This window comes from Homo sapiens, chromosome 8 (genome assembly GCF_000001405.40).
Source record: "Homo sapiens chromosome 8, GRCh38.p14 Primary Assembly".
NCBI lineage: Eukaryota > Metazoa > Chordata > Mammalia > Primates > Hominidae > Homo > Homo sapiens.
Genome location: NC_000008.11, coordinates 68,096,478 through 68,120,883, shown reverse-complemented (window position 1 = coordinate 68,120,883; position 24,406 = coordinate 68,096,478). Strand labels below are relative to the sequence as shown.

At 37.3% G+C, this 24,406-nt stretch overlaps 1 protein-coding gene across 4 annotated transcripts in view, besides 1 other annotated feature; it reads right to left on the bottom strand.

Annotated features, from left to right (window-relative positions):
• Nucleotides 1–24,406, bottom strand: part of PREX2 (phosphatidylinositol-3,4,5-trisphosphate dependent Rac exchange factor 2) — a 284,987-nt gene that overhangs the window by 116,149 nt on the left and 144,432 nt on the right. For 2 of the 4 annotated variants that reach the window (NM_024870.4, XM_047422267.1), the window contains exons 22-29: nt 23,683–23,867; nt 21,041–21,202; nt 12,553–12,775; nt 11,261–11,468; nt 4,952–5,131; nt 2,240–2,334; nt 1,370–1,452; nt 598–688 (exon numbers count right to left, since the gene is read on the bottom strand). In NM_024870.4, coding sequence (NP_079146.2) covers nt 598–688; nt 1,370–1,452; nt 2,240–2,334; nt 4,952–5,131; nt 11,261–11,468; nt 12,553–12,775; nt 21,041–21,202; nt 23,683–23,867 — 1,227 coding nt within the window. Of the gene's footprint in view, nt 1–597; nt 689–1,369; nt 1,453–2,239; nt 2,335–4,951; nt 5,132–11,260; nt 11,469–12,552; nt 12,776–14,874; nt 15,747–21,040; nt 21,203–23,682; nt 23,868–24,406 lie in introns of those variants that run through there. The other 2 variants (XM_047422268.1, NM_025170.6) reach the window with 2 other exon arrangements.
• Nucleotides 8,724–8,924: a silencer, noted in NCBI's record as "peak7061 fragment used in MPRA reporter construct". NCBI's record gives its function as "represses an SCP1 promoter by STARR-seq MPRAs in K562 erythroleukemia cells {active_cell/tissue: K562}" and the evidence as "EXISTENCE:reporter gene assay evidence [ECO:0000049][PMID:32103011]".

Here is a 24,406-nt window from a genome sequence, read left to right as displayed (position 1 = left end):
AATTCCTAAACAATGAAGCCTTTAGGCTTCAAAACCTTCTTCTGTCACTGTTGTCCTAGACTATTGACATGGTGGTCATTTCTTTTGCCACACCATCAGAAAATCCGTTAAATGTAAAAAGTCAAACCTTCATGTTATTTTCTTATAAATGTTTAAACGAAGCAAATTTAGATGAAAACTCTACTTTCATTATCCCAAACTAGTTACTTGTCAGAGTGGCAGCTCCATCCTTTCCATTCATCAACTCTCATTCCCCACACCCTTTCCTCACCACTGGGAAACAGCCAAGAAGACATTACGCTTGGTTTCAGCAAAATCAACTTCATGTTTATGTATCTTCAATTAACTTATTTTTGCTCAGCCTGGCCCCTATAGGCATTAAACATTTTAAACTTTCAAAGAAACAGACATGTAAAAATTCCTATGCTGACTTTTTTACATATTCAAAAATTATCAGAATAGAAGTAGTGTTTGGTGAATTATGAAACATGAGTAACTGGAATTGTTCCTCTTATGCAATCTGCTTGCTTCATGACTATATTGTCTACCACCTTGTTTTTCTCAATTGCTTCTACTAGTTAATTTTTCAAGGCTTACCTTGCAATCCTCGGCCTGGAGTGAGATACTTGGTTTGGTCAAAGGCCCTCACAACAGCCTGCCCTTTTAGGAGATTGGTAATTGAATCCACCTATCAATAGTAGAGATTTCCGAGTTACATATTTCTCATAGTACATGATACGTATTTCTAAAAGTAAATCTTATAAAATATTTTTTCTTAAAGCAACAATTATTTTTGAAACCCCATGATGCTTGTGAAATCGATCTTTACATAAAATATTGAAATAAATGCACCTGATAACATTTGCAATGACATTTCTTACTATCTTACCATATATTAACACAAAATATAAATTTACTGTATAAGTTATTGGAATCCTTTTCAAAGTGGTAAAATCTTCTACTACAAATTTTGGTTATGGCTATAAATTTTGTTAATGTAAAACAACAAAATTAGCATCCAAGGCAATATCTTGTGCTTTTTAAAATTAGAAATAATATTGAGCAAGAAATATCATAAAGCTTTCTGAAAACAAAAAAACAAAAAAAAATACTAAAAAGGGTAACTCCTATGTGTATAACAGTAATTTTCCCAGGACTGTAAAATACTTGATATTCACAAAAATCCTTTAGGTTAGTTGGCTGAAGGAATGTTGATTCCTAGTTTAAATGTCAGAAATTGAGGTAAAGGAGGTGGAAGGACAGATTGAGGCCTTTCTGTTCTAACTCTGAGCTCCTTTTACTGCATATGAAAAAGGGACTCCTCACAGTTTAGTTGTGGAACAAAAGCCCCACAAATGCCCGATTGTACCTGGCTGAAAAGATGCTCAAGGCAACTATGTATCTTGTCCTGTTTATCATGAGATATGCGAACACTTAAGGGAAGTTCATCACCTAGATGTCAAAACAAAAACAAAACCAAAAACCAAAATCACTCATCTTATGTTTAACGTACCAAAATATTGTAATATTCAATAAAATGTAAAAATTAAACACAAGCTGTTATTCCATGCACAGTTCTCATGTTCAGAGAAAGAGTTCCAAAAGATTTCATAGCTCCTGGGATGTTACTATTTCTTCTGAAGGCGGAGTGCCTCCCAGAAAAGATACTTGTTAAAGACTCTTTCAAATGATGTTCCTCCAGTGGTTGAAGAGTTGACATAAACTGCATAATCAAAAATTAAGATTTTCCCTAATTGGAATGAAAGGTCTTTGTTCTTAACACACACAAGATAATATATTTATAAGATAATTATATCAATCTGTTTCTCTCATTACCCTCAATCCTCAACATCCACATATAAAGCTAGCTCAGGTGAACCTGCTGTCTTAAATGCTTCAAACTCCACACCTGCCCATCCCCATCAACCATGCCTAATACTTCCAGTATATTTCCTGTGTACCTATAATCCTTCATAGAACCATACAGAGATAATGGAGCATATCTGAAGATTACAATTAGTTTGCTTATTTCATTGCTTTTTAACTCACTCCCTTTAAAATGGGATTGGGAAATAGACTATCAAGCTCATAAAACTGAAATGCAGTATGTGTGGCCACAGAGAGTGACTGATAAAAGGTAAAAATAAAAATTCATATGGATCTACGAAATTAAAACCTTAAAGTTATCTCCTATAGGACTAATATCAAAAAGCCCACAGGCCTTCACCAACGAACACACCTGAGTCCATTTCATCACTGTGGAAATACGAGCTGCACTGGCTGCTGCAGATGCTGGTGAAGGAGGCGATGGAATTCCTATTGCTGTTGCAGTCACTGAAAACAACAGGTTTCATGTTACTGTAAGAGTGCATCTGCCCAGGTGTCCCTGCAATTTCTTATGACATAAACTTATATCAGTTATATTTATTAGTATGTTTTAGAGAAAACTATGAGAAAGATAAACTTGTTCAACTCAGTCTATCTTACTTTTTAAAGACGGCATATTTTCTGTCTTTTTTTTTTTTTTTGGAGACGGAGTTTCGCTCTGTCTCCCAGACTGGAGTGCAGTGGTGCGATCTCGGCTCACTGCAAGCTCCGCCTGCAGGGTTCACGCCATTCTCCTGCCTCAGCCTCCCGAGTAGCTGGGACTACAGGCGCCCGCCACCACACCAGGCTAATTTTTTGTATTTTTAGTAGAGACAGGGTTTCACCATGTTAGCCAGGATGGTCTCCATCTCCTGACCTTGTGATCCGCCCACCTCGGCCTCCCAAAGTGCTGGGATTACAGGCGTGAGCCACCACGCCCGGCCAAAGATGGCATATTTTTGATTCAATTATATTTCAAATTTTCTTGTATCATATAATCTAATCCTAAATGATTTTTTAAGGGCAGTTAGCTATAAAACTAGGAGTCATGCCAAACTTAAAATTCTTTATAATCTGTTTCATGATACATGCCAGTAATTAGATAACTTGCTAATAGAGACAAAATACTGTTCTGTGATTTCTGTCCCTTTCTGGTGGCTTAAATCATAACTTATTGGTTACACTCTGAGCTTCCTTAGGGAGGACAGGAAACTTGTCTGTCTCCACCTCAGAGCTTTTAGCACAGGGAAGTGCTTGATAATGATGAATGCCCAAGGAAAGAAAGGTTCAATATGTTTGTGTGTGAACAGGGACAAATTTCAGAAATAGTGCAGGAGATAAAGTATTTTCTTTCCTCTCAGAATAAGTAAAAAGGACGTCCTTAACTTTAAATTTACATTTAAAATTTCTATCTTAGCCTAGAGGGAAACTGTCAGGGTAATTTTAATTATCTGATAACTAGAACTTGAGGTAAGAAAGTATTTTTAGACATGTAATTTCCCACTGGGAAAAACTCTACAGATTCCTATTAAAGAGCAGGTTGGGATGCTTAGAAGTGAAAAGTAAATGAAGTGATAAAAGTGGTTAATCTGTCTGATCTATTATTAAATCTCTAGAATAATTCTTATGTGTTCATTAAGATCCTTTTTGGAAACATAGAAATTGGAATAGTAGAGTGGTTAAGAGACAAACTGGGAAGCCAGACCACCTGGTCTCATAGGTAAATGATATCAGCCCTCTGGGCTTCAGCTTCCTGATATGTAAAATGGAATTCCTATCAGAACCTGCCACCGAGGCTTGCGGTGAGGATTATGTAAAATCTTCCTCTTTCCCCCATGTGTTTGATAAAAGTATATTTTTAATGTTAGCTCCTAGTTTGTAGCTAGTTATACTCTGATGAGAACTTTGATTACTATTTAATCAATATCTTTTCATTGCAAAACACTGCATAATAAATGAGTGAAGAAGATAGTTTCTGCTTTCAATTAATATAAATGAAAAATATGTTGAAGTTGTATACACAGCTTATGTGGCTGGTTATGACAGTCCTCAGTGAGGTATCAGGTGATACATGGATTCAAGGAACAAAAAGTAGTTTGAATTAAGGAAGTTCACGTGAGGAGACATCATTTGGAAGTCTAGTAGGAAGACAATAACAGAGTTTGGAGGGAAAGTATTTTGGGTTGAACTAGGTCTCCCAATAAAATTCATATGTTTGAAAAGTGATCCCTAGTACCTCAGAATGTGACTTTATTTGGAGATAGGGTCTTTACAAAGGTAATCAAGTTAAAATGAGGTCATTAGGGCGTGACCTTAAGCCACCCTATAAAATGTCCTCATAAGAAGGGAAACTTTGGACACAAGACACATATGGAGGGAAGATGACGTGCAGAGACACAGGGAGAAGATGGCCGTTTACGCGTCAAGGAGCCACGCCTGGCACGGATCCTTCCTCCACAGCCTTCAGAAGGAGCCAACACAGCCCACACCTTGGTTTCAGATTTTTGGCCTCCAGAACTGTGTGATAATAAATTTCTGTTTTTTAAGCTGCCCAGTTTGTAGTAATCTGTTACAGCAGCCCTACAAAACTAATACAGAAGGTATCCAAGAGAGTAAAAACCACAAGCCTTGTCTCCGAGGTAGGCAAGGAACATTAGTCCAATTAGGTTGGAACATAGACAATGAAAAGAAAAGAGAGAAAAAAGAGCCAAAAGAACTCCTATTCACTACCCAATAAACCAGTGACAGAAACAGATAGTTGAAAACAATGTTAATCCTGTATAGGCACAATTTTCTTACCAGCTATCTGTGTTACACAATCCATATACAGAACAACTCTCCCAAATTAGGCTCACACAACCAGCGAAAAAATGCTTTTTCCAAGCTACTCATATTAGAAAAGGGAAGGATTTGAAATATTACATTGTCCCACTATGCTTTGTCTGAGGTCGGTAGTAACAGGTGATTATTGTGAAAGACCAATTAAAAGAAAAACAATCAAAAACTTTTTTCAAGATCTTTGTGGAAAATCCAGCATCATATTTGACTTTGTTAAGAAAATGAGTTTGAGGAATTAGTGAATTACCTGTAAGAGTCTCTGTTGCTGATGGTGTCATGACCAGAATCTTCCTGTTCATCTCCTGCTACATTAAAACATACCCGTTTGCTGTTTCTTTCTCCCTTCTCATTGTCACTGTCTGTTGGTATTATGCCCTCTGATGTCTTACGTTCTAATTTAGGAGAATATGTTATTGAAGACAGAAGGCTGCAATGTAATATTAAAAAAAAATGCACATTTTCAAACTGTCTGCTATATATAACTACCTTATTTGCTGAATACAATAGGCTTACAAATATTTCTAGAGTGCTTCAATGTTTCATATCAAGTAAATATTCTATTGCATAAAAAGCATGTCATTCAAAGTTCTCTTGTTCTTCACAAAATAAGTCATACAAACAACATACAATTTAGACCAGAAAGCTTCATTGAAATACAGGTTGTGCCATGTATGACTATAGCTAAAACAAAGCTGTGATAGTTTTGTTTGACACTTGTGAAATGGAGATAATGAGAATAACTGGCTTCCATGACTGCTGTGAGAATGAATATTCCTGGTGCATAATGGGTGTCACCTCTAGCCCCTGGCCATTAGCACAACCATCACCACCTTATGAAAATACTCGGTAATCAGCCGGGTGTTGTGGCTCATGCCTGTAATCCCAGCACTTTGGGAGGCCAAGGCAGGCGGATCACCTAAGGTCGGAAGTTCGAGACCAGCCTGACCAACTTGGAGAAACCCCGTCTCTACTAAAAAATACAAAATTAGCCGGGCGTGGTGGCGCATGCTTGTAATCCCAACTACTCAGGAGGCTAAGGCAGGAGAATTGCTTGAACCCAGGAGGCGGAGGTTGTGGTGAGCCGAGATCGTGCCATTGTACTCCAGCCTGGGCAACAAGAGCGAAACTCCAACTCAAAAAAAAAAAAAAAAAAAAAAAGAAAGAAAAGAAAAGAAAGAAAAGAAAAACAGAAAATACTCAGTAATCTTTAAAGTGCTAGCCAAATATTAAACCCAAACTATAAATGGGCCTTCATGTCCTCACTGGCTCATATTCAGTATTAAAAACCCACCTACCCTCTATCTATGCCTTGGGTTTTGCCCAGGCATTCCCTATTTGGCAGGGAGAATATTGGATTGTCTATCCGTCTCCCTGCTCGTACAAACAGGAGTCTTGGCCTTGGGGATTACAAGACACTAAACAGAGTTACATACAATGTGAGGATGGGGTAAATCTGCAAGCCAGCCAGGATGAAATGTCCCAAATCTGCCCACAGAAAGAGCTCCTCCACCTGGCTCCAGGCTAAAATGCCGCAGTCAGACTGAACTGTGTGAAACCTGCTGAGGACTTTGAGTAGCTGCTGACTCCAACACTCTAGGCTTGAACATTTGGCTGTGGCATGTTTCTGTTACAACTAACTCAAAATTAGGCAAAAATGGAATTGAACTTTATTATCAAAGAGCATGCTAAAAAACTTGCAAAATGAATTAAACCATGTATAAACAAAGGACCCATATAGGGCTTCTCAAGCCAGCAGCCATCTTCGCATTTACTAAATACCTGTGATTTTCAGTTCCAATCAGTAGCACATATCTTGATTCTCATTTTTCCATAGCAATGTAATGTTTGTTATTTCAAGACGGTGACGATATCTTATACCTCTTACGCATATTCCATAATGTCAAACCCAATGCTGTGCATTGAATAAATACCTATTAAGTGATTTCACTAAACACATTTATTATACCATGCACTGTTCTTGGTGCTGTGGATATAGTAGTTTATAAAACACACAAAAGGGCCGGGCGCGGTGGCTCATGCCTGTAATCCCAGCGCTTTGGGAGGCCGAGGTGGGTGGATCACGTGAGGTCAGGAGTTCGAGACCAGCCTGGCCAACATGGTGAAATCCCGTCTCTACTAAAAATACAAAAATTAGCTGGGTGTGGTGGTGGAAGCCTGTAGTCCCAGCTACTCAGGAGACTGAGGCAGGAGAATCGCTTGAACCCTGGAGATGGAGGTTGCAGTGAGCATAGATCACACCACTGCACTCCAGCCTGGGCAACAGAGTGAGACTGTCTCAAAAACCAACCAAACAAGCAACAACAACAACAAAAACAAAATACAAAAGCCCCTGCCTTCTTGGAGCTCAAATTCTACTGAGAGAAGACAAGTAAAAACAAGTAAACTTTCTAGTATATCAAATGGCAGCAAATGGTAAGGAGAAAAAGAAAGCAGGGAAGGAAGCGTGAAGCTGCCACTTCAAACAGTGGTGCAGTCAGGTCAGGTCTCACAGCGAGGTGAGATTTGAACAATATTTTGACATTTTATAGGTTTTAGACACCAGTGAAAAATTGAAGGAGCTATGTTACATTGCTTGAGGCCCTGTGAACATTTTTAATAACCAAAAGCTATGGATGATTTTAAACACAGTTTTTCTCTTTGGAAAGATACTTTTATGTCCTGTAAGACAGATTGTCTATTTATTCACCCTCTCCACCCAAAAGATTAAAACATTAGACTAACTCCAATTATCCAAGCTCCATGCTGCACAGACAGATGAACTCTGAATACCAAAGAGGGAAAAAATGCAGGAGTTCTCATTTTGCCAAGAGGCCTCTGTGCTTATGTATCTTTTAAATTAGAAGTCATGGGGCTAAGCATAATTTTTTTCAAAGTTATATGAATTGTATTCAGATATTTGCTTTTTATTTAAAACAGCTGCAATCATGCTTGCATTGACCCCGTGGGACAAGTGTTAGGCTTACAAACAAATGATAGAAAAACTGTATTTTTAACACCATGTTTTGCATAAAATTTCTAGATTCTGAAAAGCAACAAGGCATCAAACCATAATATTTGTGCTTGCAGAAATCCCTTCACTTTCATTGGTATAAAATATTAAGTTACCTACTAGAGGTCCATTAATTAAAACCTTCAGCAGCATGCAATTCCAGGTGAATCTTCTCCTTGTGCCATTGATAAGAAAGATTTTTGTATACAGTATGTTGCAATGACCTGTGTGTTTTTAAACATCATCATCATTGCTAACATCTGTTCAGCTTTCATGACAGTCACGATGCTAAGTCCTTAACAGGTATGAATTCATTTAATCTCTAAAACCACCTTATGAAGTAGGTATTATTATTTTCCCCATTTTAGAGGTGGGGTAGGCAAGACATATTGTTACATACATATCCTGTGCAAATTAAGCAGGATTTCCTCTCCCTGCATCTAACTTGCACACTCTGGAGGGAGTAGGGTGCATCCCGGTGTTTCATAACTCAACTCACAGAAGTACTGTGAGAATGAAATAAGCCAATGTATATAATAATGTAATCTTGCCTGGCAAATAAGCATCTATAAAAAAGTTGGCTTTTATGGTGTGCCCCTCTTGTTGTACATTTAGTAGCAAAATGCTTGGGGAAACCTCAGTGATTACTCTACCACCACCACCACCACCACCACCATTCCTATCTGTAACCCCCGGGTTACTAACTGTCTTAAAGTGTGGTTTGTTCACCACTCAATCCTGAGGCGTCTGGCACCTGCAAAATGAAGTCTGTTCTCAAATCCCCTATGTCTACCAGTCCCCTTTCCTCCCTGTGAGAATACACAAATCCTCTATTTAAAAACCCTGTCAAAGGTTTTGGACATTAATTATTTTTCCTTTTACTTATTTCTTGTACCTAAGTGTCATTACCCAGTAAATAGCCCATTGCAGGGCAAAAGTCTTTAACTTTCCAAAGTGAAATTGGAATCACAAATCCTTGATTAAATTCATTACATCATCTTACCTCATGTTACTAGACAGCAAATTCATCTCTAATTCCATCTTTGGCTCTGAAGCTAAGTAGGAGGATTTAGTGAAATGCCTATGTGTTAAAGGAAATTTCATTTCTAAGAGAGGTATTCCCAGGTGACAGAACAACCAGACTTTATGATAAGACAAGCTCAACCCCAGGACCTTTCACAGGGATGAATAACTTCTAGAAAAGCTAACACTGAGGTGTTATCAGGCAGTTTCTCTTAAAAGTTGGCAACACATCCGAGATCTGCTTCTTCACTTGCAAAGACATCTCTGACCAGGAACAATTACTATAGGGTGAGAAAATTGTTCAGATACTAGATTTTTAAATAATGTGTTAACCTCGACTGCATGGCAGCATCTCTGAATATTAAAGGCAAGGGGGAATCCAGGCACTTAAAATAATTGTACTGTTTTACAGGGATTATATTGCACATTAAGTTGTGTGGAACCTATTTATACTTAGAATTACATGATGTGGTGTACCCAAAGAAGACCAAGGTGGTTTCTCCAATCATTTGCTCACTGTGTGCCACTTTTCTAATAAACACACTCAGTTGGGTAGAGGTTTTTAGAATAACAGGGTGGGGAAATCTTCAGTGAAAAACAATCATTTTAAGTAGTTTTAGTTAATAAAAAATAACTAGTCTGAAACTAGTGTCTTAAATATAAATATTTTAAACCAAGTAAAAGGAGCTCCTTGGGTTTACATATTTTTCCTAAAAATATTTCTACATTACCTGAACCTTAAAAAAAAAAGTCAATAAATTAACAAAGACAAAGTCTGGAGGATTGTGAGGCAGTGCTAGATCGTCAATGCAGTAAAGATTAGTCCCTGAGCAGTGTCAGCTGAGGCACATCAATAATCTTGCCACTGACAAGACTCATCCCAAAATAGCAATAACAACTCTTGGAACTGGAAGTATGGGATTGGTCCAGATGTTTTCTTAAAATCCCTTTGAAGCCTAGGAGCTATGATTCAATGCCACTATTTATTGCCTTATTAATAAAAATTCTATATACTTCATAAATACCTCTGGGAGACAATAACTGGTTTCTAAAATATATCATGCAATAAAATCTCATTTATTAAATGAAGTAAAATATCATATCCTAAAATATAAACTGCTGTCACAAGGATTCCAACACAATTCAAAGATGTCATGCAATTGCTTAAAAAAATACTCTCCTTTTCTCTTAGCAATCTTGAACGGTTTAATTCATCTGTAAATGGGAAAAGTCACAGTATAATATACAAAACTAGCATATTAGAAATAGAAAAACAAAATCTTAATTCTAAATCACTCATAAAACTTCAGAAAATTAGCAAAGTAAATACTAAATATTGAGGATAATTTTTAAAATATGATGCATCTAATGTGATTTTGATCTCTAAATTTCAAAAATGTGTAAAATGAGAGATCGTGTCAATTATGACTTCATCCGTATAATGTCTAATTACAACAAAGGCTTGGAATAAGTTCTAAATATTTTGTGTCAAAACTGAATTATCCATGAAGTACAGGATGATAGGTGTGTGTGTGAAGTTAAAAGAGTTCACATCCGTAGCCATTTAAATCAACAACTTCACGAAGAGAGTACAATAAAAAGAAGATAACAGTATTTCTATTATTTTCAGAATCTGCCAATTTGGGATATATTCAATAATTTCCATCCCTTGAATGGATGAGCAAGCACTATATTAGGCAGTGTGCTGATTACTTTCTATATTAATTTGTATAATTTTCATGACCACAAACTTGTAATTCATTATTATTACTCAGTCACTTCTGTAGATGAGAAACTGAGCTACCTCAAACCCCATGCTGTTCTGACTATACAGAGCTGTCTGGACTAGATGTGAAGCATCGTCCTATACCATGATATGACAAACCATCCTACCAAGCTCAGGCAATTCTCCAACCATCATATTCTTACATAAGAATTAGAACTGATTTATTTGGAAAAGTGCTCATTAACTGCCTCCACCTTCTCTTGGTTAAAAATACTGGCACAGGTATTTGGGTTATTGCTTAGCAGGCTGTCAATTCAATCAGAACAGAAAAAAAAATTCGTCCTAGAGATACATAATTTTGCATTTACTCATTTAACAAGTATGTTAAGCATTTATTATACTTTATGTCTTTTATAAATATCTATTGAGTGCATATTCACCAAAATTTGCACCCTGAACTACAAAGAATACAAGGAAATCCTCATACAAAACTGGTATTCTTTCAAATATATCTTTCAAGGTAATATTTTTACACTGAGACTCATTTAGTATCCTTGTATAAGACAGAATTTTGTCATTCTCTTCCCTAGTATTAAATGCTTACTTAAAATATATACCTATATGTATTTTTTCCATTAAAAAACATTTTTAAGGTTTTGGAATGAAGAGGATCTATATAATCAGCACAAATCTCCTAAATTTCCAATAACTAAAGAGAGAATGATTGAATTTTTCTAAGCCACATTTTTATGGCTATTTTATTTGGCAAACTTAAAAGTGTAGTACAAAACACTTACTCATCTATTTGACAAACACACATCTCCACCTCTTTCAGTGCAGTCTGAAGTTTGCCCAGCAGTTTCTGATAGATGTCTTGGGTTTCTAAGTCTTCTTCTTTTAGCAGATACCTGAGACCATGGCCATCCTGCTGTCCCAGAGACAGACCTGAAGGGGCCGCCATGGTTGTGATGGTGTGCTGAATGTACACCATAGGGCTCAGTTTCCCTGAGGAATTAAAGTCATTCCTTAGTAATATGTATCACCTTTAACTTGCGATAACAACCCAGTCCAATTAATTTCATTTATTTTTTAATTGACAGATAAAATTATATGTATTACATGTACAACCTGATGTTTTGACGTATATATGCATTATGCAATGACTAAATCTAGGTAATTAACATATGTATTACTTCACATAGTTATCATGTTGGTGCTGAGAGCACTTTATACCCACTCTCTTAGGATTTATCAAGAATACAATATGTTAACTATACTCAGCATGTTATACAATATATCTCTTGAACTTATTCCTCTTATCTGATTGAAATTTTATATCCTTTGACCTTCATCTTCTCAATCCCCCACCCAACCACCCCAGGCCCTGCTACTCACCATTCTACTCTCTACTTCTATGAGATCAACTTTTTTATATTTCTCATATAAATGAGATCATATAGTATTTGTCTTTCTGTGTCTGGCTTATTTCACTTTAACATAATATCTTCCAGGTTCATTTATGTTGTCACAAATGACAGGATTTACTTCTTTTTATGGCTGAGTGGTATTCCATTGTGTTTATATACCCCATTTTCTTTATCCAGTTAAATTAAATTTGAGATTCCATAAAATAAAATGCTGATCCAATGCTGAATTTAGTTCAGAAATTAGAGCCCGTGGGGAGCTGTAATTAAAAACTAGAGGATAGTTTGATCCCTTGTCCTACTGTGATGGTACAGAATGGCACTGTGCATTGCTGCAGCTGTTCCTCAGGTATTGTCCTCAAAGTTTCAGGGCCATTTCAGATCAGCAGCTTTCACAGCAAGATGAGCTGTGCCTATCATATGCATAAGGAAAGCAAGAGCAATCATCCTTCTTAGAAGAAAAATAACAAAAATGCCTAACTCCATTTTCATTCAGTATACACTTAGGCATAATTATCCAAATGATTACAGCAAGAAATCCTTCCTTTATAAAAGTTCATGCTTGTTTGCACACCAGGTATCTATTGAATTTCAGGGATGCATGAATAGCTATGATTGCCTAAATTGCTTTTCATGATTTGATAAAGTTGCAAAAGCTAGCATACCTTGCTCCGAAGATTTGTTTTCTTTATCATGAGAATTATGCTTCCTGCTATCCAACTGAACACCAAATGCACTTCCCAAAGAGGTTGATGTTTTGGGATAAGAAACTTCCATCACATTGACATGGCAGTTGGTAGGGCAGAAATCACTGCTGTGCAGTGGGGAGATTTTAGATTTGGCCTGTTTAAAAGTAGGCCAGGCCCTATTCTTCAGTACACGAGAAAACTGCAAATTAAAGAAAACATAAAAAGCAGTTGAACACACAGTAATAACTCAGGCATCTTTTTTTCACTTGCATCATTCACAACAAAATCAAAGGCAAATTAAATCATGTCAACTGGAATGAGTGAAATAAATTATATGTTGTTAGAAATTCCATTGTGATTTCAAAACTGAAGCATTCTTAATAAAGCCAAGCAATATAAGCAGCAAATGCATATGATTCCTTTGAAACTGTGATTGCAACTTAGGTGTTAAAAGAAATGAATTTCTGTGGCCAGCACAATATACTTGGACTCAAATCCACAGGCTCCCAGCAGCTGAAAGAGCCTGACAGGGCAAGTGGCATCCCAGGACACCAGGAGAGAATGGAGATCTTCCAAACAAGGCAAAATGGCAAAACAGGGTAGCTGCCAGGTCAAGGGTGGAGGAAGATGGGATGTCCCAAACACAAGCATAAAGCTAATCCAAAGCACTAGTCTGTGTACAGGTCAGACAGTAGGGTGTGGAGGCTGAGGCCCAGAATGGCAGGACAAGTCTGTTTCCCATGCCTCCTGCTAATCATTGAGTCAGGATCAAACTGAAGACTAGTGTGCACTCTGCCTTTATGGTTTGAGAATAAAGTGATACTCACATGATTTATATGACTTCCAAGGTAGCCACTCCACTGCTTCAAACCTTGCCATGGGTTTCCATTCAAATGCATCTACTCCTCGCCAAGGTCTCCAAAGCAGCCCAAGTCAGATCCTCACCTAACTTCTCTATCTCAAGCTTTCTTCCCCTTGCTCCCTAAGCTCCTTCTGGCCCTCACTTAGTTCGTCTCACACACTATCTACTCACTCTGACCCTTTCTACAGGCTGTTCAGTGGGCCTAGAATGTTCTTCTTCCTTCATTGCCGAACTGTTTCCTTTGCAACTTCAATTTCTATCAAATCATCAGGAGGCCTTCCCTGACTCATAGTCTAGGTTCAATTTCCCTGACTACTGCTAAGTTCCAGCACGCTGTAACCTTCCTATTATATAGGTATAAATAATTGTCTTATTTCTAGCTCCCCCGGCAGATGGTAAACCCCATGAGGCTAATACATAGGTCTGTTCTGTGTACCATCAGTAAGAGTCTCATAGAGTTAGACTGAATTGTAGTCTCAAAAGCAAAGGATTCAGAGTCACTAGCTACCATGTTTTAGTTACAGCTGTCACAATAACTGATATGATGTTAGGCAAGTCAGTGTCTTTTTTGCATTCTTCGTAACACAATGGACATGGATTAAATAATGTCTATATTCTCTTCTCCCTTGAAAACTATAACCATGATCCTATCTATTTACTCTACTAGTAGAGTAATAATTTTGGCATGAATAAGAATAAAAATTAAGACTATGACTGGTCATTATCTAACTTTTCTAGATTAAATTCAAGAATAAATATCAAAATTGACATTGCATAAATATAAGCTCACCATTAGAACAGGGACTCTCTTATATGTATACGTGTAGATTATATATATATGTGATATATATACATACGCATGTATAATGTGTGTATTAAACTATGTCTTCAATTCACATGTCAGAAGCTATGTAGTTCAGCCATGTGCCAGCGCACAGTAGGAATCTAAATGGAACTGAATTGAAATGCAGGAAATTATTAACAAAATGATGAGCAAATTTAATAATAATGGATAGTGAAAATTTATCCTAAACATTTTTTGAAGAAAGGAATTTAGAGAAATCCTGACCTATCCCATCACTTTACTAATAAAGAAACGGTGACTTGGAGGCTTATATGGGACATAGAGTTTAAGGCTAGATGCAAAAAACTTTCAGTCAAAAGTTCTTTCCCACTGTTATTGCAGGATAAAAGTCTCACAAGGCACCCATGGCACAAATAAAGGCACTGAAATCAATGTTATTAGGTAACAGCATCCACCATAATAGGAAGTTATGCTTCTCTTGCCTTCTTCCATTTTAAACAATTATCCATCCATTCAAAAGCAAGAAGAGAGGCATCTATTCCAGACTCTGTGCTCAATGCTGGAGATATAGCCCTTGCCCTCCTGGAGTTCATGGTCTAGTAGGCACCACAGGAAAAACAATGCAATAGTATTGCTATATACAACAATTGTTTATTGCAATTACTAGGTTGGAGCAAAAGTGATTGCGGTTTTTGCCATTAAAAGTAACGGCAATGTGCCATATATATAATACATGTGCCATATATATAATACAGTAATGCATTGCTTAACAACGGGGATGTATTCTGAAAAATACACCAATAGGTGCATCTATCTGAACATAGAAAAAGTAGAGCCAAAATGTAGTAGTATAATCTTATGGGACCACCATTTTATATATATATACATATATATGTATATATATATATATGTGTGTGTATATATATGTGTATATATATCCATATATATATATATATATAATCCATATATATATGGTCTGTCATTTACTGAAATGTTATGCAGTGCATGACTGTATATATACAATTATATAATGCACGTAAAAGCCAGATAGTTAGAAATTTTGGTACAAGCTGAAAAGGAAATGAATAGGGTGATGTCAAGAAGTGTTAATGGAGTAATCGGGGAGAGCTGGCAGAAGATTCTCTTGCTAGGGGGACTGGCTTTCCAACTTGTAGCTCAATACAAATGCCTGTGAATACAGGATGTCCCCCTGCCCACATGCTAGGAAGGGCTGTGTACTGTGTCTAAGGGTGCCTGAACTGTTCCAAAGGGTAAGAATCAGACAGGGGCCCTCTCTGCTAAGAGCATTTCTTGAGAAGGAAGGTCCTCAGGAATGCAGTGCTGTCTTCCATCCTGGGATATTCCTAAGAGAGGAGGAGGCAGCAGGAGGAACTCCATAGTCACAGGTACTGGAAATGTGCTGCTTACACTGTGAAGATCAAAACTGTGCTCCCAGACAGCATGCCGTGCTGTGAAATTGTAAAACCTTTCTGAAGCTTGAACCTAAAATATGGAAGGTACAGTTCTTGAATTGATGGTGGTTCATGCATGAGAACATCCTGATTGTGCAAATGGCCCTGTAAACATCAATCTGCCTATCTTTTTAGCAACATCAAAGGAAACACTGAACTCATTAATCTGCTTTGGAGAAACTCCCAGGGAAAGGTTAACAAAACAAAAAGGTCTTATCCCCAAATAAAAACTGCAATTTTGCAATAAAGAAATGCACAGGGTGGGTGTGGAGAGAGGTGTATTGGGAGGGACAGGACTTTAGATCTACTATGGATACCACAAGCCCAAACTTACTGCCACCTTTATTCATTTACCCAACAATGACTTGTGGAAGGCTCTCTGTGCATCAGGTACTGCCCTCAGCATGTTGGGGAACATCAGTAAACAAAACAAAGATTCCTGTCTTCCGGGAGGTTACATTCCAGTGAGAGGAGAGGTCAACAGTGAATACAGTAAGTCAATTATGTAATGTTGATAGATGGTAAATGTAACTGAAAACAAAATTGAGCAGTGTAAGAGGGTTGGAAGTTTCAGAGGTGAACTGAAGAATGGATTACCAGTTGTAACCAGGATGATCAGAACAGGCCTCACTGAAGCTGGCATTTAAGCAGTCTGGAAGGAGTGGAAAGTTAGAAATGTGAGCATCTGGAAAGGGGTCATTTTTGGCAGAGGGAAGAGCCAGTGCAAAGCCACAGGGCTGGTGTGTCCAAGGAACATCAAGAAAACCAGTGTGACCAGAGCGGCAGTGAGAGGGAGGCAGAGGAGGCAGGATTGGAGAAGCAATGCAGGCAGGGAGGGCACAGATCCTGAAGGCCATTGAAAGGATTTGGCTTTGACCATGAGTGAAGTGTACAGCCACTCAGGACAACTGTGGGTTGGTCGGTAGCAGCAAAGATACCACTTACAGGAGAGATGGCAGTGGCTCACCCAAGGCCACCAGCAGTAGAGGTAGGGAGGAAAGGCTGCATGTTTGAAGGTAAAGCCACAAGAATGGTGTGAGAGAAAGGGAAGTGAAGAGTGTATTCGAGGTTTTAGGCTGAGCAATGGGGAGGATGGGCATAAGCCCGAGATAGAGAAGACAGCAGAAAAGCAAACTGCAGGAGCACTGGGGTGGGGCAGGGGAAGGATCAAGAGCTGATTTGGAACATGTGAAGCGTGAGATATGGATTAAACCCAGTTGCAGAGGTCAAACAGGCCAGGACCCTGAATGAGATCGCCAGAGGATTGAAAATGGAGAGAGAAAAGGAGAAGATGGAGTCCTGAGTCCTGGAGCTTTACCAAGGAAAGGGAAGGGGAGAAAAGGCGGAGTCAGCATAGGATACCACAGAGGAGCCCCCACAAGAAAGGACAAAAACCAGGCATATGTGGGGTCACGGAGAACCACCAAGTAGAGGTTTACGGTCAACTGCATCAGATCCCACTAAGACAAGGAATGCTATCAGGATAGTCAATAGACTTTGGCAAAATACAGCCATTTCAGTTACACAGAGGGAAGAAGAGGCCCACTGGAGTGTGTTGAGGGTAATGAAGGTGAGAAAGCAGGTATAGACAGCCTTTTCCAGGAGAAAGATCAAAGAAAGGGAACAGTGTGGGGTAGGGGAGGGCTATTTCTTTTTAATGTAGGTGATATAAAACATATTTGTACGCTGACACGAATAAACAATTTCTGAAGATGCAACTTCAGGTTTTTAATGCATTGGTAGCTAATTCGTGAATTATTGACTATAGCAGCACATTTTAATCCAACTATAGTCACTTAACTAAATGAAATAATACAATGGTAAGCTACTATTTTGCAGATAGCTTCCTATTTCAATTAAGCATAAAATCTTTTTGGCATGGGGTTATAGAAGTTTTGTATTGTACCCTTTTGAGGGAAGGGGACACGGGGAAGATTTTTTCCTGCAATTTTCCCAGTCCATATATCAGTGTGAGAATTACATGGCATTAATAAGTAAGGAGGGACTTCAGACATTCAAAGGAAGACTTCCAGTTCCTGCAGGTAATATTTTTGTGTAAACAGGAACTATCTCTTGAATATATGTTAAATATTTCTATCTAGGAAGTACTCCCAATACCCAAAATAAGCCCAATTATGGAATTATTCTAAAGCAGAAGAACAAATGTAAAACAAAGAAGCGTTTCCAGGACAATTTAAGGAGAAAGTGTTCCTCCCAACAGGGCATAATTTTACTTCCGAATTGTCCCCAAATCCTGCTCCACAGAGAAAAACATCTCGCTTAAGATTCATCCAGGTCATCAGTAAGGTCTGACCAGGTTTCACACATGTGCCAAAAAACATCTGTGGCCTGTACAACCAGCCAGGAAATCTATTATAATTGCAGCAGTCTTACTACAGAAACTATAGCAATCAACTGGTTTCTATTTTTAAAACCTAAAACTTTCAGAGTCAAAATAAGGTAAAGCCAGCATCTTTGAGATTTTAGTTTCTATGGATACATTTTATTTCACAAAAAGAAGAGTGTTAAAGCCTTCATCAGGAAGAAAAATATGTTGCTAATAATAGTTTTAAAGTATATGTGTGAAAATTAAAAATCTATATTCGCAAATGCTATGGGTTCTGTTGACATGCATTTGATACATAAATGGAGCTAATCTTACATGACCTATTAGGGCTACCATCTTAGACACCTAAATCTTATTCAAATTGAAAAGATCCTTGCAGTGTTTTCTTGCTAACCTTGCTTCTCTATCTAATGAGAAAACCAGTTATTTTAAATATGTTTATGGCCAAATGGTATGATGACAAGGAGAGCTTTTAAAGCACATAGGCCCTAGGTGACTACATGTCTCTTTTTTATTTCTAAATTAAATTAAACACAAGTGAGACTACATTCCATAGGAACCTAGTCTGTTAGTTGCCACCTACGTGACCTTAAGCAAATTCTTAATCTCCCGAAGAAAGAGGCAGGATGAGAGAAGAGTCCATACACATGGCTGTTTTGAGACTCAACTAACAATAATGTACATAAAAGAGCTTTCCATAATTGGGTGACATTATTTTTATCATCTAACATCATTGCCCATTAGCCTGCCCATCTGCGCCTTAAAAGCTTCTAGGATCTCAGTTACCTATGAGTAAATGGAACATACTTCTCACCTTCCAAGGTGACTATTGAGGATCTCCGACATTTATTTAAGCCTGTGTTCTCTTGGTCCTTATTCTTAAAGCAGCTGCATCAATTTGCTACCTAATATACCCTGATCCTAAGATTATGTTTGTTTATATAGTTTACCATTTTCCATGTATACTTCTTTAAGCTACTTCCACTTTTTTGTTGTGTGAAAGAATGAAGAGAGGAAAGCAGGAAGAAAGCAAAAGAGAAATGTCCCAGGCACGGTGACCAGTTTGACACCCAGAATCTGCCTGAACCTGTATCACACCTTCTTGTACAGATCCATTTCTAAAGTAGAACAACTCTCTTTTTCAAAACTTCTTCGAAAGGAGAATACTGATTTGCATTTGTTTAGCATTTTCGTTTGCATTTGTTTAGACCTTTTACTTCAATTTTACTTCAAAGCACGGTCATGTTTTATAGAGAAAGGAGAAGTAAGAAAAGAATCTTCTGTCCTTCAACTCCAACAAGGTACATTCATGGAATCTTCCCCAAACTCAAGTAGGTGAACTGAACTCAGCAGTCATGAAAAGCAGATTAACAAATGTGGCAGGTAACCAGCAACCCTGAATATTAGTTTTCTTCATGTGAGTAACTTTTTAAAAGATACAATAGTAATGCAAACTCAACTCAACAACCCAAACATTACAGGAATTGTTTAAAGGAAAAAATCATGATCTCTTTTCCCTTGACTCATTTAGTTTAGGTAACCAATGTTGTGAGTCCCTTGGGTATTAATTTACACACATCCCTATTCTCATGCAGCCAAATATAGACATATATGGGCTTATTTTAATTACCATATCAAGAACATAAAACACATATACTTAACACATATTCATATATATTGAGATAAAGAATATTATCTAGTACGGCTGCACCAAATTTTAAGCAACCAACTTCATTTGGATGGAAATAATTTAATCAATTAGTCTTCTATTGGTATAAATAGAAACAATTTTTAAACTTGTTTTAGCATGTGTTTTGGAGATGAATTCCCATTAATTCTACCTTTAAAATACGTCCCCAAATTCATCTAATGTTTTTTGTCTCCTTCATCTTCAATGTAGTCCAAGCCATCAACATCATTCAACTGGGCCATTGCAACAGCTTCCTACCAGTCTCTATTTCTCCATTTCTGCCCCCTTGCAATCCATTCCTACAAAAGCATGATCTTTCAAAAGCCTAAATCAGATGAAGTCATCCCCCTGCTTAAAACCTTCCAACTGGTTTTCATTAATATAAGAATAAAATCCAAACTCCTTCCCAAGTCCCAAAATGTACAGGAGCTGCCACAGCTCTTCACAGTTGGCCCCACCTAAGCCTCTGACCTTAAGCCCGGCCACCAACCTCTGGCCACCCTGGCCTTCTTTCTGCTTTGGGGCTTCAGTACCAGCTGTTCCTTCTCCCTGGAGGCTTCTCTCTCCAATTGAAAGGGAGAGTTCTACTTGTCAAGCCTTCTCAAAGGGGCTTTCTCTAGCCACAGAGTCAAAAGGATCAACCTGGCACTTAAACCATACTTCCCTATTTTGATTTCCTCATAATTCTTCTCAATATTTGATTCCCCTCACTTTGCAGGGATTTATTTACTTACTTGCTGTCTCTCCCACTTGAATGTGAGCACCATGAGAGGAGAGAAATTGTCTCCTTCCCTGCTATATTCCTGGAACCTAGAACAGTACTTGGCACATAGAGGGTGCCTAATAAATATATGTCAAATGAATGACTTAATCAATTAATTTTTAAAAGCCCACAGTCTATGTACTTTCTGATTGAGAGTTTTCATTCTCTTAGTTGGGAGAAAAGAAAAGAAGAACTATAGTATAATTTTAAATTTTGACTTCAGAATTAGGTGGTCTGCACTCAATGCCCAGCTCTATCTTTTACTAGAAAATAATTTAATTCTTTAGGCCTCAGTTACTATATTTTGAAGATGTGGGACAGTAACATAACTTACAAGTTTGCAAAGATCAAATGAGGTAATGGATGTTAAGCCATTTCAAAAACTCTAAAATGTTATATAATGTTATCATCTCAGTAAAATGGTACCTAACAAATATGTAAAGAAAATATCAAAAATTGATTTAAATTTGACATTCAAATAATAATTTCAACAATAATTGTGTATAAAATCAATAGAACACTTACCTTTTTATAACTGGATATTCTCTGACATAGGTGTTCAATTCTTTCACTGCAAAGGGCACTGAATTTACTCTGAAGGTCAGTAGGAATCACTTCATTTAGAGAATTTAGGCTGGTACAGTTTTGTACAAAATGCTCATCACTTTTAGCCAGGGCTTCAAGAATCTGCAATGACAAACACACACGCACACCCACACACACAAACACACATACAGACACACACATAGAAAAACAAAACGAAACAAGAAGAAAAACTTCAAAAGTAGCCATATCAAATTTTCATTAAGTTAACAATACAGGGCAACTTTCCTATTTTGTTCTCTGGGTAGCTGCCAGGGAATTTCTACCTTCAGTCAGGAGGCGCTGTCAGTGAAGTGATCTGACTTGTCTGTTTGAAATTTCAGGTTTTCCTTCTGCTAACTATAGGAGCCTGCTTGGTGAGGTAACTGGACTTCAAAGACTCCCTGCTGGATACATCAGTACATTCTGCTGTGGGACACTTCTATATTTTAGTCAGAGTCACTCAGAACATTTTTTTTTCTCAATTTGGTAGAACAAAAAAACATAAAGGAATCCAATATCATTCTTACTTGTTTCTTAGAGTCTGGCAAGTGCAAAAAGAATATATTTGACAACTGCTTGCTGAAGAAATGAATAAATGAAAAGTTATTTCAGTAAGGTAGAAATTAATGTTACTTGCAGCATCTGAGCTCTTGCTGATAAAAGCATTAGATAAAAGTATTTATGTGATGTTTTCAATTAGTAAGTTCTTTTGACTATTTGAATCAATTGTAATAATATGTGTTGATGGGGAAGGTGTACCATCAATCACTAAGAATTTCCAATGACCTGAGAATTAATTATGTGAGATATATATATATATATATATATATATATATATATATATACACATATATATGTAGCATTTCTGATTAATCAGACATTGCAAGAATTGATTATACCCATAATCAATATTTTATAATATTCTGTGAAACATAAAATGTATATATGTTCTGGTTATCTGAGCTCCCTCACCACCTCCACTTCCCTTTTATGCAGACTATGGAGTATGAGTTTTTATTTAATCACTAGTCTAGAACTTAGAGTTAACTTTATCATTAGCAGGGTGACCTTGGCTACATTTCTTTCTTGACTGTTTTTTCTTCATGTGTAAAATCCAAGTGATATTTGTAATACTAGTTCATATGCTGTCATATATAGAATAATCCATGTAATTCTGCAAACTTGAAATAGCTGGAAAATGAGAAAATAATTATAATAACCTGGTTCCAAACTTTTACATGGATCCCATGAATACTATAATGTAGACGGGAAGAGACTGCATTTTAAAAATATATATTTTAGATATCAGTAGATATATAGAGAGGTACAACATCATCAGAATGATGAGATTTTTAAAAAGCTAACTTTCAGAATATAAAACCAAAAGATAAAATAATTACTTTTAAAATAGTTCATTTAGATGTCTATATTACTTCCTCCCACTAAAATTTTAAAAATACATGTTAGAAATGCTACATCTATCTCAACTATTCATATTTTAAACAACAATTCAAACAGAGACATAAAGGTAGGAAAGCTACATCTCATTTTTCTTACTTGTGATATCTGAATTCTCATAGAATATAGAGCAGTATGAAACACTAAATCCAACACCTGTGGAGGATACAGTAGGAGTCTGATGGATTTACCTTGTAGGCAGGCCATGAAAAGCCAGCAGTTGCCTCTTTACCATGTATTTTATTAATTTGGATAAAGGCTCCCTTCCTTCCTCTCCATCTTGTTTCAGCCTAAAGACCTCTGCAAAGGTGATGTCCTTTCCAAATGAGAATTACATAAATATCAGAGGATCTATTCATAAACTGATCTCTACAGTTCCCGAAATTTTATGAAATAAACATGGCACTTGCCAAATTTGAAATTTCTTATAATGTATTTCACGACTTTGAATACTCTTCAGAGGATTATGTACATTTAAGAAAAAGTAGCATCTGTCATGAAAACCATCTGAATTGGATTCACAATAATGAATTCACAGACACAGCAAACTTAAATGCTGTGAAGTCTTTGCCATATCAATGAACACCTGCCTAAGCAAGGGTTTCATCTAACTTAACACTGTGCTCCAAAAGGATCAATAAAAGGAAGTTGTATGCATACCAAATAGTGGAGGAGGGGGAGAAAAATAAGAAATTGAATGAGGCTGGGCACAGCGGCTCACGCCTGCAATCCCAGCACTTTGGAATGCCAAAGTAGCTGGATCACTTGAGGTCAGGAGTTTGAGACCAGCCTGGGCAACATGGTGAAACCTCATCTCTACTAAAAATACAAAAATTAGCTGGGCATGGTGGTGCATGCCTGTAATCCCAGCTACTTGGGAGACTGAGGCATGAGAATTGCTTGAACCCGGGAGGCAGATGTTGCAGTGAGCCGAGATCACGCCACTGCACTCTCACCTGGGTGACAGAGTGATATTCTGTCTCAAGAAAAAAAAAAAAAGAAGTTTGAATGAGCTGACAGCTGCAACATGTATAGCTATTTTTATTTTTTTAAGTGAAGGAGAGGGAGGATTTCAGTTCCTTTATTTAGAACAAAAAATCTTATTTCTTCAGCATCGCTCCTACCTTGGCAGTTAAGCTGAAGAAACCTTTGGGCTCAATCATCTTTTCCACCACATTGCACTTGATGCCAGCTGTGCTGTCGTACTCATACACGACACCATATTCCAGGTGGACATTGTCCACTGTCAGACTCACATGCTCCTTCTTCCCATCAATGATGGCCATAGTGTTGAATTTGTCAATAACCTCTGGAACAAAGACAACTGTAACTCAGTAAATTCATGAAGGATTTGTTAATCTCCTCAAATAATTTTGTGTCTCTTTAAATAATTTTTAAAGAGTTCTTTAAGGGATGGTTAAATCTGATGTGTTAAATGAAGCATCTATTCTTGTTAACATTTTAAAAAATAACATTTCGAGAAAAGCATATGCTTGAGTGATCCAAACCTCAGCACTCTAACATGACTAGTCTTATCTTTGCATATCTACTTCAATCTGTGGACCATATGTCTACCTATTTATATCAGTATAAATACTATACCTAAATTTTTTTTATTAAAGACATGTATGACTTAAAGTCAGGATTTCTAAAACTGCCTCGAATGTTGTATGAATATTTTCTTAAAGCAGGAAAAAAATCCATAAAGAAGGCCATATTGAAGAAGCAGAAAGGAGATGCAAGAATCATTTTATTTTGGCAGACAGGGTGCCTGCAGTTTCCCAAACAGCAACTTACAGAGAGGGCTCATTGAGAAAATTTCTCATTGTTCACTATAATAAAATTTCC